This window comes from Homo sapiens, chromosome 7 (genome assembly GCF_000001405.40).
Source record: "Homo sapiens chromosome 7, GRCh38.p14 Primary Assembly".
NCBI lineage: Eukaryota > Metazoa > Chordata > Mammalia > Primates > Hominidae > Homo > Homo sapiens.
In genome coordinates this window covers 121,263,024-121,283,406 of record NC_000007.14, presented here as the reverse complement: position 1 = coordinate 121,283,406, position 20,383 = coordinate 121,263,024, and the positions used below count along the sequence as shown (strand labels likewise).

The following is a 20,383-nucleotide window of genomic DNA, read 5'->3' as shown; positions in this document are numbered from 1 at the left end:
TTAAGGGTGCAAATTCCTTTGTAGATAGCTTTCTAGAACTTGATGGCAAAATATAAATTAAAAGCTGAGTACAAGGAGAATTCAATACTGAGATAGAAGAATAGGAAAATTCACATTGCAGATTAAAATGAGGTTTAAACTACTATTCCCTAAAATGTTTATGGTGAAATAAGGTAGTTCTATATAAACCCCAATCTTACATAAATCCAGTGACCATAAATGTGGTCCTAATACTTTTAATTGTGTGAGATTAAAATCAGGAATGTAGATTTAAAACAGAACTATGTACCAAAGGGCTAATTGAGTCTCTATGTAGAAGAAAGGAGTTTTTGTTTTTATTGTATATACTTATTTTTAATTGTTATAGTGAAAAAGAATTCATGGAATCCTTTTGTAATGAAAAAGTATAAGAGAAACAAAATGATTCTGTATCTTGTAGAATTAAAATTTAATGATTTTTTTTCCATGTAATATCCATCTTTCAATCTTCAGAGTTGTCTGTGTCAGGAAACACATGGAGTAATTCAGATATGGTCCCTACCCTCAAGGGGACTATATAAAGACACATGACTAAGATACTTGAAGTAAGAACAAGAATGAAATGACTTCAAAGACATTGTCTGAGACTAGCTCCCCAAGGTCAGGCACCATGTTGTTTCCATGTTATGAATAGTTCCTTAGTACATTCAAAAGACTTAGTGCTAATTTATGGTGGGCAAGATCATCTGTTCACACAGCTATTATTCCTTTGAACGTATGTGTAAAATTCAGTGTCCAGCATTGCTGTCAAACTGCTGTTTCTGAGTCCCTGAGATTCAAAATATTACCTTATTTTACTTACTCTTATAGGCTCTAAACTGGAGAAAAAGGAATTAGCTACATTTTTAAGGCTTGGAAATGTTATTCCGGTGAAAGATGTTTGATACCTGTACAGTAAGGAGCAAATTGCTCCTTTCCTTTGATCTCATGGGTGGAAATGTGCCCATTTGGGTCCTTTCCAAAATCAGAGAGCCATTTGGGGTTATTAAAATCCAACTAAAGGGTCGACTGGAATGTGACTTTGAAAGAAAGCTGCTTGCAATACACGTTAGGTTACCTTTGAAGCATAATAATAATAGTAAACAACAAAATGAGCCATTAGAAAACATCAGTGAAAGATTTAGGCCTTGACACAGAGACAAAAGGCCTCAGATGTTTGTATACCATGGTTACCTTAATCAGAAACAAATTCTAATGGCTTGATACATCAAATGCTTCTCTAAATTTGGGTGCAGATGACTTGACCACTGAAAAAGAGACAGGTATATCTAAGAGGAAAGGAGCTACTACATGTGGTTAATAATACATACATGTGTGATTTGGCAAATGTTTGTAATATGTTAAATATGAGTGTTAAAGGACAATTTTTATTTTGCCACTTTGAAGTAACTCCTCTTTACTTTTGTGTTTATTTTCTTTTTGTGAATTTGCTACATTGAAGTACGTTTTAAAGTAGGAAGAGATAGTGAAGGACAATTTATCTCCATGCTGCATGACAATCTGTTTGATCAGCATTGTTCCATAAGTCTTATAAGAAAAATGGTTTTTCTCACAGCAATGTTCACATTTGATTAAGTTACATGTAAGACTTTCAAGACTTTCAAGTAAAAATTACAGTGTTTCAAAGACAAATATTTTAAATATACTGACTATAGAAATTTAGGAAAACAATTTTGGAGCTAAATGGAGTTTTATAAGTATAAGATCTTATAGGCTATTAAATGATCACACTTTTCTGTGACTCAGTGTAGCAAGAATTGAAATTCTGTGCTTTGGGTTGTAGACATAACATTTACTTTTTTATAGTTTCCTTATATGGTAAGGGATCTGCCAGTTTATAATTATAGATCTTTCCACATCTCTACACCATTAAAAACGTGGGTACAGAGACATTTTAGAAGGCATACAAATGGTCACAATTCAACTTGACTGGATTTGGCCTATGGGAATTATAAGACTTCCCAAACGAACAAAAAATTGTTTGAATTATGAAACCAAACTTAACATTGCAACTTTCACTATTAAATGTAGGTAATTTCAACACTCAAAATTGATTTCACATAAACCATCATCAGAACGTGTGTATTGCCATATCAATTAACTGCTGATTCTAAAAATAACTTTGAATTTCCAAAAAGCCAGTACAAAAGGGAAGTCTTGGTGAACTGGAAAGGTGTCAGGCAGATTACAAACAAATACCTTTCTTAAGATTGATCTTGACCTGAATAACCCACAAAGAACTTCTGATGTGGTTCCAGATCCACAGAATAAAATAGAAAACAATTTTTATGGTGCAAGTGTTCCAAAATTGTCCTATACTGGATTAGAGGATGCTCTGATTACAAATATGTTTCATCATGGATGGGGTCTGAAGAGGAGACAGGGTAATGGCTTTCTGAGGCTGGAAAACATGAGATTGGCCAGGCAAATGTGTTAGTCTTAAGACAAATGTATACTGTTGAAGTACTTTTTGTTGGATGTAGTCATTCTGCAGATGGCATTCAATCCAAGATCCAGTCACCAAATTATGACCAGCTGAAAAAGTAGCCTAAGAATTCACAAAAGTGGAATAAAAATAACGTGACAAACAATAGCTAGAAGTTAGTCCTTATAACTCATAATTTCACTTCAGGACATCATGCAATTTTGACAGATAATAGGGAATTCTTTCATTTCATCCCTTTGCCCCCAAATATTTAATTATGGCCACATGAAATAAACTGTGTTTTGATTGAAGGGAATCCAACTTCTGAATCTGTCAAAGATGCTGGGGATTAGGGGGCAAGACTAAAACTTTCTTTAGGAATGAGTTTTGTTTTGTTTTGGTGTTTCCAGATTTGCAGTCAGCATATTGTCTGTCCCCCACCCTTCCTCTAATCCCCAGCCCTTCTTACTCTGACAGCTGAGGCTTTGTAACTCCTGCCCTTGGACAACGCTGAGCGTTGGCTCTGGGAACAAATTCTGCTCTGAGGTGCGGAGACTGATTGTAAGGAGCTCCAGACCAGAAGTTTACCAGTTTAATATTAAACTGTTGGTTCTATCTTACAGTCTCATGCAGTTCCCCAGACACTAAATTCCCCTGTCTTAAACTCAATTTCCCAAGTGGCTGAATATCTATGTTGCTGAGTTTTTACACTATTGGAATGACCTGTACTAGTCTTAGCATAAGCTAATTCCTCTTTTGCTCTATTTAGATGTGCATCTTGGGTCTTGGAATCTATTGGACGTTAACACACAGGTATTTGTTTCTATCTAACGCTCTTGAACTTAAATATTTTATTTAAGATTAAGGCACTAAATGTTACACAATTTGTGTGGGGACTAACATTTCCAACTGATGACTTCACTGTATTAATTTGCTCAGCACCACTCTGGCCTTTTCAAAGAAGATCTTCCGGTGGGTCATTCAGTTTCATGTCAGAAGAGCTCTCCAGCCTCCTGTCTGAGGGACCCTCTGCCTGACTGTGGAATGCTAGGAGGTCTAGGGAAAAGTTCAGGGCTCCTCCCTTCACACGCCAACTTTACCTTCATCTTTCTGTTTTCAGCCTCTAGATTAATTTATTCTTTACTATACTTGTGTTTCTGAGTCCAGACTTTCTGCAGTTCCATTTTAAAAGATATTGTATGTGATGATATAGATTCCCAACTGTATGGGCTGGGGTAAGGAACTCAGGGGTCTACCAATTTTGCACATAGACTTCTAGCCAATTGTTTTCTGACCTGTGTCTCAGCCTTATCTTTTTCAGCATAGGATCTGAACAGCAAGTATGCCTCACTCACAGCTAGTATTTCTCTTCTCTCGGCACTTTCAGTTGTACCTTATTTTGCCTGCTAAGTCAAACTTCATAGAATGAATTCAAATGAATTCAGATTTCTTGTCTGTTATGAGTTATTCTGTTTTTTCTTTGTGGCGGGGGGTGGGGAGTGAGTGAGTAGCTTTATGTCTTTAAAGTATTTTTCTTGGGGTTTCAAGTGGAAGGGAAGATAAATGCTTGTGGTCAATCTGCCTCATTTAGTCTGTACTTCATGCATGATTTTTTAGACCTTATCCTTATGCCAATTTTCTCAAAGTGTGTTTAGTGGGGTGTTAATAGTTGTGATAAAAAAAATAAGGAAAAGTCATTCTGTGGTCAAAAATGCTGGGGAAAAACTGGGTCACACTAAGCTAACCAGCTTCTTTAGTGTAAGAACTTTTGGGATTATTTAATATACTAATATTATTATCTGAGAACCCATAAGGTGGAGGTGTATTCAGTATTTCTCAAAAAACAAAACCTGTTTTCACCAAATTAGAACATTAAACCTTAATGTAGGAAATGGTAATCAAAATAGTTCAAACTCTGGCTTAGCTTGGTTCTTAAAGGCTAGTAATAAACTCCCTGACATGGGGGTTTATTGCAAAGAACATGAAGGAGTTTATGAGTCAGCATCTCTTTTTTAGTCACACTGACATTCTAGGTTTCAGTATTGAAAAGGCTGGGTAGTATAGCTGCCTTATGGAGTCATAATAGTAGTTCAACATAAGTTACTTTCACTGTTTGTTGACCCTCCATTTAATTATCCTTCTTAAGAGAGAGACCTTGATTTAATTGGTGTTACAACCATTCAATATAGGGTACTCCCTTTGAAACAGGATTTTGTATCAAGTCATCTCAGAAAAGGCTGGGCTCCCTCATGACCAGTGAATTTATTCTCACTGGGCACTGATCTCTAATCTAATCAGCTAGTAGCAGAGGATAGAATTCACTTACAGATGATTGAATGAGCACTAATCATTTTACACAGAAAGAACTGTTTGAAACTACATTTCTAAAAAAGGAGTGTAGGAATCTGTGACTCATCTTCAGCACAGGGTCATTGAAAGATTTTTAAATGACAACACCGAATGTGAAGTATAGGAACATTCTCCTGGTGGGGGGTAAGAAGTACGGATTCAAGTAGTTGACACTGGAGGCTCTGAGATAAAAATATTGCAATAGCTGAGGGCAAAGAAATGATAGAGAAGGAGAGACCCTCCTCCCCACCTTGTTCATTTGCCACCCCACACACTATTTACCTGAATCCTCAACCTGCTCCTCAGGGGCCTTTCTCCAACTGTCCTTCTTTGTCCTGTATTTTTATTCTGTCTCTTGGTATTGATTATTTCCTCTCTGTTTAAAAACATGCCAAAGTCTTTCCTCCTTTAAATCCAATATTTTTACCCTTTTCTTATTTTTATTTGTTGAAAGCTATTATGAGCCCCCTTTCTCACTTCCTATACCTCTTCAACTATTCTAGTCTAATTCTTGCCCCGACATTTTACCAAAACCACTCTTAAGATGATCAGAAAGGACTCCCCTGCTTCATGCCAAAAACATTATTTTGGAATCCTCACCTTAATAGATCTATCTATTACATTTGACAACACTGACCCTGTCTCCATCTCTCCTTTTCACAAATGGTTACTCTGTGGCTTTCCATGGCTTCACCTTCTACTTGAGTTTTCCCGCTATTAGTTTATGCTCTAAGTTCAAATGCTCCTATTTCTCCAGACTTTGCTTAAATATTGGTGTTTCCAGGAGTTTCTTTCTCAGCCACTCTACTCACTTTCTCTGGATGACGTATTTTCTTTTCTTTTTGGAAGTTAAAAACGTAACCTGCATGACCTCACACATACAGTGGGCACAGGGCAAAGACTTATTTAATTCGCTCAGGGGGAACAGCAGGAGGCAAAGCCGTCTCAGAGGAGGATTCAGGGCTAAGTGCCTACAGCCCTTGAGAGATCGCACAGTGGATTAAGATGGGAAAGAAGAGGTGGGTTGTCGATGACGTGTAGGCAATGCAGCCGTCACCACCTGCCATCTTCTCTGCCACACAGAATACACTTGCACCTCTACCAAAACTCTGCAGTTCACGCAGGATGTCAATGAGTCTGGGCTCTGTGGATGATCTATTTTCATGGTTTCAACTACAACCTATTTTCTGATGACTCCCTGTGCCATCTCTCATCCCTACCAGTCCCTCCAGTGTCATATTTGTATATCCAACTGCCCATTGGAGATCTCCACCTGGATGTCCTACAGGCAACTCAAATACAACATGTTCAAAATTGAACTCATCATCTTTTCCTAATAAGGTGACTTTTCAGTCATTCTTTGTCTCAATTGCCAGTTTCTCTCCCTAATCCATCACTCAAGTTAGGAGTCATCTTTGATTCTTCCCACTCCTGCATGCCACAAATAAGATCTATAGATATCATTTTTTAAAACCAGGCTTGCTTTTGTCCACTTCTCTCTTATACTTACACTTCTCTTTTATACTCTCTGTCCTGGTTTGGGTGGAACTTTACAATCTCTCACCTGACTTCTAGAAAAAAAAAATCTCCTAACTTCTCTAACTTGTTCTTCTTCAAATCTTCCTTGCTCACTGTTATTAGTCTTAACTGTTTGAAACAAAACCATGACCATCTCACTCCTCTCCTGAAAACCTTTCAGTGGGTCTCCATCACCTACAGGATCATCCAGTTCTTACCATGATCTTGCCCTCACCTACTTTTTTCAAATATTCTTTTGTGATTTATGTTCTACTATATACAGGATTGCCTGTGATTATGAGAACATCAGGTATTTCAGAGCTACTTTGGTTCACATTATTCTATGGGATTGCAATGGCCTTCCTTCTACCATTATCTTATTACCTTGATTAAGTCCTGTTCATCCTTCAACAATTAACTTGGATGGTAATTCAAGAAGAAACACTTAATCCTTAGATTGAGTGCCTCTTCTTGGTGTTTCACAATATCTTATTCATATATCTGATGTGCTATCAAAGGTATTGTTTCATAATATGGGTTTTTAGGACTGACCCTGATTGCAATGTCCTGAGGGCATAGAGTACGTCATATTTATTTTTATATTACTACTGTTTAGTTCAAGAACTGGACCACAAAATAAATGTTGAATGATTTAGTAAAAGAATAAACAAGGTCAAGGCAGTTGGAATGTAGTGTAGGAGAAAGACGTGGAAAATATATAGCTTGTAAACAGGATTTGGTAACTGGCTGGTTAAGGGTCGTGAAAGGGCTGGAGAAAGATAAGCAAAAGTCGAAGATAGCTCTAGTTTATAAATGGTAGTGTGATAGAGTAAATTAGGGAATACCAGAGGGGAGGAAAGTTTAAAGGAAATATTAATTCTCCCTCTAAGGATATGCTGATTTTGAGATACTTACGGGAGTCCTATAAAATGCTCTTCTAACTCACTTTACAGCAGTAGTACAATGCTTGCATAGAGTAGATACTCAAAAATATCTATTGAATTAAATTTCCATACTAATTCATTAAAAATAGCCATGCTGAAAGTTAAATTCTGGGTTCTTCTATATCAGCTAACTATGTTAACCATATTTGTATCTTTTTTTTCCCTAAAAGTCATTATTTCAGTTTTTTTTTTTTTACCGGATGAATTTAAAGTTTCTTTCTTTTTAATTTTTAAATTGTGGTTAGATAGTAAACTTGTAAAGTTTAAAGGAGAAAGTAAAACACTTTATTTCTAGGCCAAATAATCTTTTATTTAATTAAGATTATATAATAAAGATTATAGGGTTAAAATTAATTAATAGTGGAAAACCATCTCTGACAAAGAACCAAAACTCCCTTCTTTTCTTCTTTCTATAGTACCAGAATCAAAGGAAACCTGCTGGTATTAGTGGTAGTTTGATGCCAGATGGTTTTTGTTGACTGAGTCAAAAGCTGTAGCTACATTTGCCAAAAAAGGAAGATATTATATAAGGTCTGCATAATTGATTAGACTAATGAATAATAACATATCAGTTGGTTGTGGATTTGTCCCTTCTGCAGCCAGGTTTGTGTTGATAACATTATTGTATTCTTTCCAGGTTTTAGCTTGTTCACAGTAGGTGTTTGCCACATAACCGAAGGCACCATCCAAAACCTCTCTTGGGCAAGAGCTACCTGGATCCTGTTTGTTGTCCTATGTAAACACTAGGAAAACGTAATCCATTTCCACTCATAAAAAGAAACACCTGCTTTTCTAATCAGCAGGAACATGTTAGTCAAAATTGATGCACACCAGTTGGGAAATTGTTTACAGATTCTTGGTGGCAACATATTCTCTTTTGGTGCCTTGACGGATGAAAGAAACACCTCAAGATCTTTCATCTCACCTATGGCAGTGAGAGCTCACTGAAGCAAGTTTGTTATGTCTATGATAGAATTCTAACCACAAACCAAAGAAAAAACATCAATATCTTACTGTAATGATTATACCAACCCTTCTCAGGTATCCTTGAATCTATTGTGGGAATAGTTTAGTTGAACATCAGAAGATAAAAGTCCCCCAAGCCAGAATTTTTATGGTTCTAACACAATTTTTTCAACTCTTGCTAGTATTTTATGGTAAGCTTTATTTGCCAGGCTCATAAGATGAGCACAGAGGTGAAAAAAAGGTTATCAGCAGAATTTTTGCCCTTTAACTTTTTAGACATGAGAGCAGTCACCAACTTTTTTTCTAGCTTGCTGCATTCATTATCAAATGTCCTCTATAAAGAGTTTTAGATTTTTTGGATTGTTTGTAATAAGCTAACATTGCTATTACATCACTGTTAAGATGTTAGGTGATGATTTAGAAAGATTATAAAATGTCAGTGTCAGCACTAGAGACTTGCTGAGGTACAAGGGGTACAAATTGTTCAAGAGTTAAGCAATAATTATGCCTAAGTAATGAATGAATTTAGCGACTTTATGATGAAGGGAGTCAGTTGAGAAAGATGATCATATCAGCTGTATGTTGTGACTGGAACAGCAAATGCTCCCAGAAGCTTATTTTAGCTTAAACATTAAAACTTCAAAATAGATAACACTACTCTGAAATCAATTAAGATAATTTGGCGGAGACCTACATGGCTTGCTATCAAGACAGCCTACATCAGAAATAGAGTTAAGAAAAAGCGAGTTATGTGTGATAATTACACACCAAAAACTATAAAGTCAAATAAGCTAAATGATTTTACCTGAACATGCTTGAAGCATTGTTACTATGCAAGTTAATGATAATTTTAATCAGTAATAATTATAAGCCAATATTCTAGTGCTGATGGTTCAAAAAGCCTTTTTTGTGGTTTCTGAATACCATGGCTATTAATGTGAACTGGTTGATGCTGTGGTATGATACATGTAACCATGTGGGAAGGGCACTTCTGTTTTTAATTGGAGCCATGTTGAAATTATTCGAGGACATTTTGCTTTTTAGACTTTCAGAGCACTAAAGCTAAAAAAAGAAAAGTAGACACCTTTCTGCAAAAATATGAATTGAAGACACATTATGTACAAATAAATAAATAAACAAATAAAAATTCTTTCTAAAAGAGGAACAAAACCAATCTCTATGTTGTCTTTCAAAAGCCCTGTTTTCTGTGGGTTTGGCAACCACTGGCTTGCTTTTTTAGCCAGCTGTGATCCTGGGCTGGCTCAGCTGCAAGATCTTTGCTTCTTTCTCTTCCAGGCTACAGCCCTTGCATTTCTAAGTCTTGACTTTTGCAAATAGGATAAGTACTCTAAACGTTGTATATTTTCTTGTGGAAGACATTAGTAGACACACAGTATCCTACAGCTTAAAATCTGTTCTGCAACAGCATGATCCAGCTTCAAGCTGCTAGGTCAAAATTTAAAATGTCATGTTCTGTACTGTGGCTGCAGGCTTTCACTTCTCTGAAATGCAGTTCCATTTGGTCATATTAAAGGATAATGTAAATCCACCCATAAATCATACAGAGCAACTACTGCAGTGTCAATAACATTTTTAGTATTGGTAAAACTCTTGGGACCAAGATGGATTTTTTTTTTTTCTTTGAGATGGAGTCTTGCTGTGTCACCCAGGCTGGAGTGCAGTGGTGGTGATCTCAGCTCATTGCAACCTCTACTTCCCAGGTTCAAGTGATTCTCCTGCCTCTACCTCCCCAGTAGCTGGGATTACAGGCACACACCACCACACCTGGCTAATTTTTGTATTTTTAGTAGAGACGGGGTTTCACCATGCTGGCAGGCTGGTCTCAAACTTCTGACCTCAAGTGATCCACCCGCCTCAGCCTCCCAAAGTGCTGAGATTACAGGTGTGAGCTACCACACTCGGCCCACCAAGATGGATTCTGACAGTCAGCTAAGGGCTGAAAAACAGAATCAGAAGGAAACTTTAGTTGTCACCTCACGAGTCAACCCACTAATAAATGCATCCTGGTTTACAAAAGAAGGCAAGCCAGAAAGAGTGAATCAATATCTAATAGAAAGATAAAATGAGGCACTATTCATCTCAGTTTCAGCTGAATCTCCTAGAGCAAATAACAGAAGCCAAAAAAAAATCATATTCCAAGAAATTTCTGGACAACCTATACAAGACTTTCAAAAGTATGGACAAAATCCAGTTTTCCATATTCTTGTCTCACCAAAAGAGTTGTGAGACAAAGAGGAAGGACGGGATGGAATTTCTGTGTGAGCTTTCCAATGTTTTGGGGCCCTCTTCCCATTGGGGTGTTGTTTTATTTTTGCCTTAAGCCAAGTGAGAGGAGCCTTCAGCAGAGCCAAGCACATGTCTCTTGGGGTTTGGGAAGCATTAGAACTGGTATGATATACTGTGGCTACAGATCAGCTTTAGGGTGGCAGAGAGAGTGAGAGAGAAAGCTTCACTGGGAACTAACTGTATTTCCAGCAATGACAGAGCAACAATGCATTAATATTTCTGTAGATCAAATATATATATTTCTGTAGTTCAAAGTAGAGCAAGCCTAGTGCTATTTTGAATATTTTTCAAAAGGATGCCTGGAGGAGCAACGTGATCCTCAACAGAGTGATAGACAGTTGGATACCAAGGAGCCAAAAAAGGAATCTACTTGGAGGAGAGGTATTACCGCCATCAAGGAAGTTGGAGCCATAAAGTTCCACTGGTGGGGAGGGGGCTCTCCAAGGCAATTCGTAAAATCACTCAAAAAAAAAAGAAGTAGCATGCTAGACTCAGAGAGCACATCACTGGGTTATGCTTGTACTAGTCAAATAAGACTCTTCTTGTCCTTAGCATCCCGTCTCTACTCTGACCAACGCAGAAAAATGTAGAAGAATAAAAGTAGAGAAGGAAGATGGGGAAATGGCAAATAAGTGTCCTGCCTTCTCTCCCTTGATTTGGGCTTTTGAGACTGAAGGAAACCTAAGCTGGGGGATGGAAATGACTTATGTAGTTATGACTCAGAATGGGACAATTTTAGTATTGATGTGATACTCCTACACCTGAAGGTGATTGGAGACCTTTTGTTATCTGAAAGTGGTGTTAAACTTATGGGTCCTGACCAAGATTTTTATTCAAGGGTTAGGGAGGAAGTAATCCACAGAAGGTTCAAAAGGACAGGAGAAAAAAGAATAAAATAGTTTTAGGCTATCACCTTATCAGCTTAGCCTATTTATAGGTTAAAATAAAATCATTTTCACTCTGGGTGGGGGGACCCTAACCAAAACACAGGTCTTCCTGTTATGCATTGGACAAGGCAATGAAAGAAGGTCATTCATTAGTTTAGCACATTAAGTAGTCGTGCTTTGCAAGCTGCTGCTACTGAAAACCTTTGCCACCTTTTTTTTGGATGCAATTTCTGATGGGAAGGCTTGAAGTCTATTAGAGAAAATAAGTGCTCTCCAGGTTCCCATATTCCTGCCTCCATTGACCAATTGTTCTAGTTTTGAAGTGTCTAAACAAACATAAATTTTTTAACATCTCATTTGGTAGAGCTAAAGTTGTGGTTACTACATGCCTTGGCTGAATGATGATGAACATATATCATTTAATCTCCACCTGACATTGTTTTTTGTTTCATGCAAAATAAGACTGACAATACAATTAAAGATACAACAAACAATTTTAAAAGATCAAAAGCTATAAAACTCAGATAGCCAGCATAAATACCTCATGGAAATGACATCCACACTTCCCCTGTAGAAACTCTTTGTAACGCCCCATTGTTATAGTGAATGTGTCAACTACTTCATAGCCATGTTTTTTTGCAGTATCCAGAATAATCAAATTTTCTTTCCATAAGTTCTGTACTTCACTCTGATTGGAAAGCAGAAGAATGAGAATTTTTATTACCAGAGGATTGTTTTATGATTCAATAAGTTAGGTGGAAATTATGTAAATGTCTTTTTTACTGGGATTAGTCATAGTGTAAGATAAGGAACTTCACATGCATTTCTTAAATAAAGATGTGTTCTAATTTTTTTTACTCGAAACATACATGTAATCATTTATGTATAAAACAGCAATATCTACAGTGACACACAGTTTTGAACTTCTTCAGTAAAAAGTGGTTAAATTTATTGCCCACAAAGACTCATAAAATATCTAAAATTCTCAATTTAAAAATTAACATTACTGCCGAAAGCAATCTACAGATTTAATGCTATTCCTATCAAATTACAAATGTTATTTTTTACAGAATTAGAAAAAACTATTCTAAAATTCATATGGAACCAAAAAAGAGCCCTAATAACCAAAACATCTTAAACAAAAAGAATAAAGCCAACACATCACATTATGTGACTTCAGGCTATACTATAAGGCTACAGTAACCAAAACAGCATGGTTTTGGTACAAAAACAGACACATAGACCAATGAAGGAGAACAGAGAACCCAGAAAAAAGCCGCACCTATAACCAACTTATTTCAACAAACTCAACAAAAATAAGCAATGGGAAAAGGACCCTCAATAAATAATGCTGGGATAACTGGCTCTCTATATTCAAAATAATGAAACTGGATTCTTACCTCTTACCATATATAAAAATTAACTCAAGATGGATTAAAGACTTAAATGTAAGACCTTAAACTATAAAAATCCTAGGAGAAAACTAGGAAATACCATTTTGGACACTGGCCTTGGCAAAGAATTTATGACCAAGACCTCAAAAACAATTGTACCAAAACCAAAAATTGATAAGTGGAACCTAATTAAACTAAAGAGCTATGCACAGCAAAAGAAACTATCAACAAAGCAAACAGACAATCTACAGAATGGGAGAAAATGTTTGCAAACTATGGATCTGACAAAGTTCAAATATCTAGAATCCATAAGTAATTTAAATCAGCAAGTAGAAAACAAACCCATTAAAAAGTGGTAGACACTTCTCAAAAGAAGATATATGATTTGAATATTTGTCCCCTCCAAATCTCATGTTGAAATGTGAACCCCAGTGTTGGAGGTGAGGCTTAGTGGGAGGTGTTTGGGTCATAGGGGTGGACCTTTCATGAACGGCTCTGTGCCCTCCCCACAGTAATGAGTTCACACAAGATCTGGTTGTTTAAAAGAGTCTGGCACCTCCCGCCTCTCTCTCCTTCTCCCTTTCTCATTATGTCACTCTCGTCATGTGACACACTTGCTCTCCCTTAGCCTTCTGTCATGATTGTAAGCTTCCTGAAGCCTCACCAGAGCAGATGCTGGTACCATGCTTCTTGTATAGTCTGCAGAACAGTGAGCCAAAATACCCCTTTTCTTTATAATTTACCTAGTCTCTGGTATTTCTTTATAGCAATGCAAAGCAGACTAATACAACATACAAGCACCCAACAGACATGAAAAAATGTTCAATGCCACTAATCATCAGAGAAATGCATATCAAAACCACAATGAGATACCATCTCACACCAGTCAGAATGGCTATTATTGAAAAGTAAAAAATTAACAGATGTTTGTGAGGCCATGCAAAACAGGAATGCTTATAAACTGTTGGTGGAAACATAAATTAATTCAACCACTGTGGAAAGCAGTTTGAAGGCTTCTCAAAGAACTAAAAATGGAACTACCATTTGACCCAGCAATCCCATTACTCAATATGTATCCAAAAGAAAATAAATCATCCTACCAAAAAGACATGCATTTCTATGTTCATCACAGCACTATTCACAATAGAAAAGACATAGAACCAACCTAGGTACTCATCAAAAGTGGATGAGATAAAGAAAACATGGTACATATTTACCACAGAATACTATGCAGCCTAAAGAACAAAATCATGTTTTTTGCAGAAACATGGATGCACCTGGAGCCTTCCGTTAGCTAAATAATGCAGGAACAGAAAATCAAATACTGCATCTCCTCACTTATGAGTGGGAGCTGAATATTGAATATGCATAAAGATAGAAACAATGGACACTGGGGTCTACAAGAAGCGGGAGGAAGGGAGAGGACAAAGGGTTGGAGAATTACCTATTAGATACTACGCTTGCTACACTTACTTGTATACCAGGTATTTTTTGAGGGTCTTCTATGTGCTGAGAATTGTATTTGGCATTTGGGCTGTCAGTGTAAGCCATATAAACTCCCTTAACCCACAATTCCCTTGGTGCTCTCACAATTACCATCCAGCAGAGGAGACAGACAGCCAAGGAGTATATGACTGACATGAGTAAGGACATAAGACACTGTTACAGGAGCTCATGGTAGGAGCAGCCAACCCAGTCTAGTGTGTCAAGAGGTTTTCTCTGAGGAACTAGCATGTAAGCTAACATTTGAAGAGTAACTGGAAGTTACCCAGAGGAGGGAGTGGTGGAGGAGTTAACTCCAAGTAGAAGCAGCAGGGATTTATTTCAAAGGTCTGGAGGTGACTGAGAGCATGGTGTGCTTGAGAAACTGAAATATGCTCAGCCTGACTGAGCTCAGTGGTGTTGTGAGTGTGAATGTGTGTGTGTGTGTGCACACACTTGTGTGCACATGCACTGGTAGCAAGGGATAAGTCTACGGAGAAAGACGGAAGCCAGCACTGAATGGCTATATGAGCACATGATGAGAAGTTTGAATTTGTTTTCTGCTTTCACTTGCAATTATCCCCCTTTTCCTTTTTTCTATTCTTTGCCCTTCCTCTTCTTTTCTCCTTCTGTCTTCACTCAGTTTGAAAAGATTGATGAGCACCATCAAAGTTCAGGTGGCAGTCATAATGTTTAACACAATATCTGGCACATAGTAAGTGCTGAAGAAATGTTTGCTGAAATGAATTGATTCTGAACTGTAACCTAAGTATAAGTAAAGGCCACAAGTATGCCAATTACTGTGAGGAGCTGCAACCAAAGGGGCACAGTGGAGCTACTGGAGTCCTCAAGAATGAATTGTGGATCTCGACCTGTAGACTTCAAATAACATTAAAGGGATTCAATCCATGGAAGACATTATCAAAGGTCCCCTCTCCTGATCCCCAGTAGCCTTAAACCCTTTGGCTCTCCCAGATATTAAATGCCTCAACTCATTTTGAATTAACTTAACCCCTGCTAACTCCAAGATGCTGAATTTAGAGGATGTAACTTGGCCACTTCCTACCATTTCTCCTGTTTTTGCATCACAGAAGATCTGCTGTCCAGGCAGATACATTTTTGAGAAAAGAATTGGGGTCTTGTGTTCTGTGCTGGGGAAAGGTAGTAGCACTCAACAGAGACATAAAAATATAAATCTCAACCTCCTTACATATTAAATGGACAGCTTCCTTTCTCCCCAATTCCCAGTGCTCACCAGGGTCATTACTCTGCAATTGCCCAATAATGCTGGCTGCTCCAGAAGTCCCTTCACTTGAGCAAGAGCAGCTGGTTCTCGTCCCTACAGATCCTATCTTTCTTTTCTTTTCTGAGACTTCTATTTAGTGCTGAGGCTAATTTACTATCTTCTATAAGAACTGGCCAGAGACCCCTACTGTTTTCATTGATGAATATCCAATTACAGGAAAAACCAATGATACTACTTCAAAGACTATTTTTAAAATAAAGCAATCATTTGGAAATCATCTTCAAAAAGACCACTCTTTCCCAAAGGACTCATGATAGTGATAATTTTTTTGTGTGGATTCAGCATGAACCTGACAAAAGGAAATCCTTTTAATATAGCCTTTAAAGGTGTATGTAAAATTGGTGGGGTAAGGGAACTTAAAGCACAATCTCTTTTTTTTACTTTCATGAAGGTTGCTCAATATTATATAGTGCCTTACGGGTCTTTTTCCAGCAGGGATCCTTATAGGAATCATGAAATTCACCTAGCCCAGAGGAAATGTGCTTACCTGTGTTAAGAAATGTACTCCATCCACTGGCAGATGAAATCCAATTCCCAAAGTTTTGATGATCACTAGGATATTGAGTAAATTTTCCCTGAATGAGATAATTATAATTCTAAAGTCAGTAACTTTAATTACATTTCTAGATGTTTGTTGTTTATATAAACAAATACCATAGAATTCTTTCAGAATGTGATAATTGGCATAAAAGACTAAATGCTCGTTTTATATATTTGATGTATAATACGGTTTTTTTAAGATAGAGTTTTAGGTGTCAGTAGACACATTTTGATCTGTACTAAATGTAAATCTGGATAATGAACAACCATGTTGTGACTGGATACAAGACTATTTTACTTTATTATTTTAAACTAGACTTTAAGTACTTAATGATAAATTATAAGTTGTTCTTTAAATAAAATCTGGATAAAACTCAGTCACATCCATAGTAACTTTTTTGACTTAGAATACTAATGACAATTATTGTTGCAGACATTTACCTCTTCAAAACTTTGTGAATAATTTGCAGGTGATTGGAATTAAGCCACTGAACACCACCAACAACCAATACAGTCTGGCCAGTATTCTCTAGGGGACGTGATCTGAAATTCAGAAAGAAAAACAACACATGTTGCCCTAAAACAGAAGGTAAACATTGTAACTGCACTGCCTCACATTTCACTGTATCTGGCATCTTGATCATAAGACTCCTTGTACTTTCCAACTTGTTTTCTGCTGCCTTACTTGGTATCTAACCTTTTGAGCACATTTGATGTACAGTGAGTAGTTGAGCAGTGACGACTGCTAGCAGAACATCAGTACTTTGTGGGTTTTGTGTCTTTCATTATAGTTTCATTGTACCTTTGCAAGAGGTGTTCAAGTGCATTTTCAAATGTTGGTCTCAATGAAGGGCTTATCCAGAACTGGGGATAGTAGGAATAACTGATCAAAGTCTTCCCACCATTGACGTTGTGATAGAATTTAGTGCCATGTACTTTCTGCCATTCCTGCAACGTTTCATTCAGCCTTTCAATAAGATAGTACATGATCCCTCTGTTGGTTGAATCTCCAATGAACAGAATCTATAAGTTAAAGAGAAAGCATTTGTTTAAAAGCTTATGTTTACATGGTACAGGAGATAGTTTAAAATAATGAAATTTTGAATATTCACACTACTACCTAACTGTTTGAAGGACAGCCCTTCAAATTGTTAGAAATAACATTCATTATATTCTCTCCCAAACCTGTTCCTTTTCATCTCTTCCATATTCTTAGTAATGCCATCACCTACTGACCCACTTACTCATATTTACCACTTGTTTCAGGTTATCTTCAATTTTTCTATCTCCCTTATGCTCTTTATTTCTCGTTTAAGCATCTTAACAAGTTCTATTGATTCAAATAGACATGAAGCATTTTAGTGCTCTAGGAATACTTAGGGATTTTCCAATCTCTTTATTTTACAGATGTGCAAACAGAGAATTCACAGAGGTAGCTCAATAGAGGTCGTGTCTACTTGACGAAAGAACCACAGAACCAGAATCTAATTTTCTGAACAGCGGTGCATGTCCTAGGGTGCCTATCCCAGTGCCATTTCCTCTCCAATGAAGCCTCTTACCCACATCCCCTCCTGCTCATTCCCAGCAGCACTGTTCAGGCTTTCACTGCCTCAAACCTGCACTAGTGTAATGCTCTCCTACTGGGTCTCCCTTCCTGTACAATGGCTGTCTTTTAATTCATTCTACACACAATATTGCTGCAATAAATTTCCAAATGTCTAGTTCTGGCTATCTCATTTGTGTGCTCAAAAACTTTACTGGTTCCTTGTTTCTTACATAATCCTACAGGTTCCTCTCACATATACTGTTTTTATTGCATACCAGTCTTTGTTAGGTGGAGATTTCACACATAGTCCTCACTTTTAATCTTTAGAATTGTGAGGTTTGATTCAGTATCTCCTTTTCACAGATGAGGAATTTGAGGGTCAGGAAGATGGAGGACATAAATCTACTAAATGGAGAACCCAGGATTCAAACCCACGTACTTTAACTCCAAATGCAAGGTGAATGGCCCCATCCTCTTAATGCCTCCCTTTATGTAAGCATGTTAGACTTCTACTTTTCTGCTAAACATGATTTGCATTCAACATCTGCTTTTCCTTATGTTAGTCTGTCTGCCTTGAAAGTTCTTCCTCTGCAACCCCACTTGTCACCCTCCGGACCCTACACGAATGCTGCCTCTACCAACAGGTCTCATCCAGTGCCCCTAGCCACAATTAATTTTCCTGTTCTCTTTGATTTTATTACATTTTGACTGCCATTACAGATTTTACAGAAGCCTCATAAAATTATGGCTTTTTGTGTCTGCATCTTTTTTCTCATAGCCTATCAAGAAATATTTGAGGTCAGGGTCAATTTCTAATTCTAGTTTTCCCCTATAGTACCATGCATGCACTTTTAAAATAAATAGTGACTTGAAAGTCAAAAGGACTTTTGTCATAGACAATCCCTTCTAATGTCTTTGGATAAGATTTAATTCATTCTTCGGTCTTTTTCTTTCTTTGGAGATTTCTCTTTCTATTAGTCATGCACATGTTTTTTTCTGATTTTAATGGCAGGCATTGCCATCATTGCTTAGGTACTTCTGTATTTGTCCATCTGCAGAAAATTTAGCGAGAATCTGCAAAGGTTTAAACTCTTTCCATGGTGAGCGTATCCAAGTAGCTGCATGAAGAAATCTAGAAAGCTTCTCCAATTTGCCTTCAGCTCAAGTAGTGTTATGCTAAGCATCATTAGGCTACCCTGAATAACAAGATTTCAAGGACTCAGTCATAGATCCTCTCAGCCAGGTTGCATTTGGAACAATAACATTCCAGTGTAATAAAATAGCTTGTGAAATAACTTGAATTTCTTCTTACTACATTCAACCTTTCACTATTTATGTTTGATTTTCTTGTCTACATTTCTGATTTTTAAAGAAGAACACTGTATAATTAGGAATGCTCTTAATTTTAGATATCAGCAGTTATGCAACTCCATTAGTATTGTTTTCCTAGGGCTGCCATAAGGAAGTACCAGAGACTGTGTGACTTCAACAACAGAAATTAATTTTCTCATATTTCTGGAGGCTAGAAGTCCAACATCAAGTAGCTAGTAGGGTTGGTTCCTTCCAAGGCCCTCTCTGGCTTGTAGGTGGCTATCTTTTATTTGTGTCTTTCCTCTGTGGCTATGTCCTAATCTCTTCTTTAAAGATTCCAGTCATATTGGATTAAGTAGGCCCCACACATAGGACATTTTACCTTAATCAGCTCTTCAAAGGCCCTATTCCTAAATACAGGCACATTATGAGGTACTGGGGGTTAGAATGTCAATGTATGAATTTGGTGGAGGGGATACAATTCAGTCCATAACGATAGTAAAGGACCTTTGAGATCTAGCTTTTAAACTAAATTGCCAGTGTGGGTTTTTCTTGTAGTTTCTTTTCATTTCAATATCAAGGTGCAGTCCCTCCTAGGGTATCCCCAGGCAGCCAGCGAGCTCCCTAGATATCTGTATTGTGGGCTATGCAGAACAATACAAAGGTTGAGAAAAATCAAAGTAGTTATATATTACTGAGAAAAACAACAACAAAATTCCTAGATTTCCAGTATTTTCTGTGTGTTTATATGTGAAAAGGCAGCCCACCAAAGCATGTCAGAGGCACAATAGTCCTGTTTCAGAATTCTTAGGTACTATTATTTATTAACTAGATGATTTTAGACAAATTATGTGACCTCTCCAAGGGTTCATTTCATTATGTGTACAGTGGGGAGAAACAGAGGTCCATGTAGGAGGACTTAAATGTGATTTTAAATACTTTTCATATTCTTGGCACAAAATGTATGTATGCACAAAATGTAAGCACAAAATGAATGCATGCCACCTTGTTAGGCACTTAAAATTTGTTAGCTCCTCTAGAGAAAATGGCAGCAAAAATAGGAAATGTCTAAGTCACAGCTATTTCTCTCCTGCCCTACCAAATCTCCTCCTGATCTCCAGCAGGACTTGAAGCATGGCTGGAAAGTTCTGTATGGAGGACTGGAAGAGAGATCACCATCCTGAGCAAACCAATGCTCTCAGAATGGGTCCCAGGTGGCCCCATTGCTGATTAGTGACTAGCAAGAGCTACCTGAATGGGAGAAGGAAGCATCACCACTGTCATTTGCACAACAAGCTCTTCTAAATCGCAAATATCTCAATAACAAAGTTGAATCTAGCAGACATAGCTCTGGGATTTCTAGAGGATT

At 37.3% G+C, this 20,383-nt stretch overlaps 1 protein-coding gene and 1 long non-coding RNA gene across 4 annotated transcripts in view; one reads left to right on the top strand and one right to left on the bottom strand.

Annotated features, from left to right (window-relative positions):
• The window catches only part of CPED1 (cadherin like and PC-esterase domain containing 1), a 308,732-nt gene that overhangs the window by 14,036 nt on the left and 274,313 nt on the right, over nt 1-20,383 (bottom strand). For both annotated transcript variants that reach the window (NM_024913.5, XM_024446941.2), the window contains 4 exons: nt 16,960-17,180; nt 16,599-16,700; nt 16,105-16,192; nt 11,977-12,123 (listed from right to left, as the gene is read on the bottom strand). In NM_024913.5, coding sequence (NP_079189.4) covers nt 11,977-12,123; nt 16,105-16,192; nt 16,599-16,700; nt 16,960-17,180 — 558 coding nt within the window. The remainder of the gene's footprint in view (nt 1-11,976; nt 12,124-16,104; nt 16,193-16,598; nt 16,701-16,959; nt 17,181-20,383) is intronic.
• The window catches only part of LOC124901735 (uncharacterized), a 122,886-nt gene continuing 119,160 nt past the window's right edge, over nt 16,658-20,383 (top strand). Inside the window, exons 1-2 of one of the 2 annotated variants that reach the window (XR_007060493.1) lie at nt 16,658-16,746; nt 17,565-17,878. This is a non-coding gene — a long non-coding RNA (uncharacterized LOC124901735). Of the gene's footprint in view, nt 16,747-17,564; nt 17,879-20,383 lie in introns of those variants that run through there. The other variant, XR_007060494.1, reaches the window with a different exon arrangement.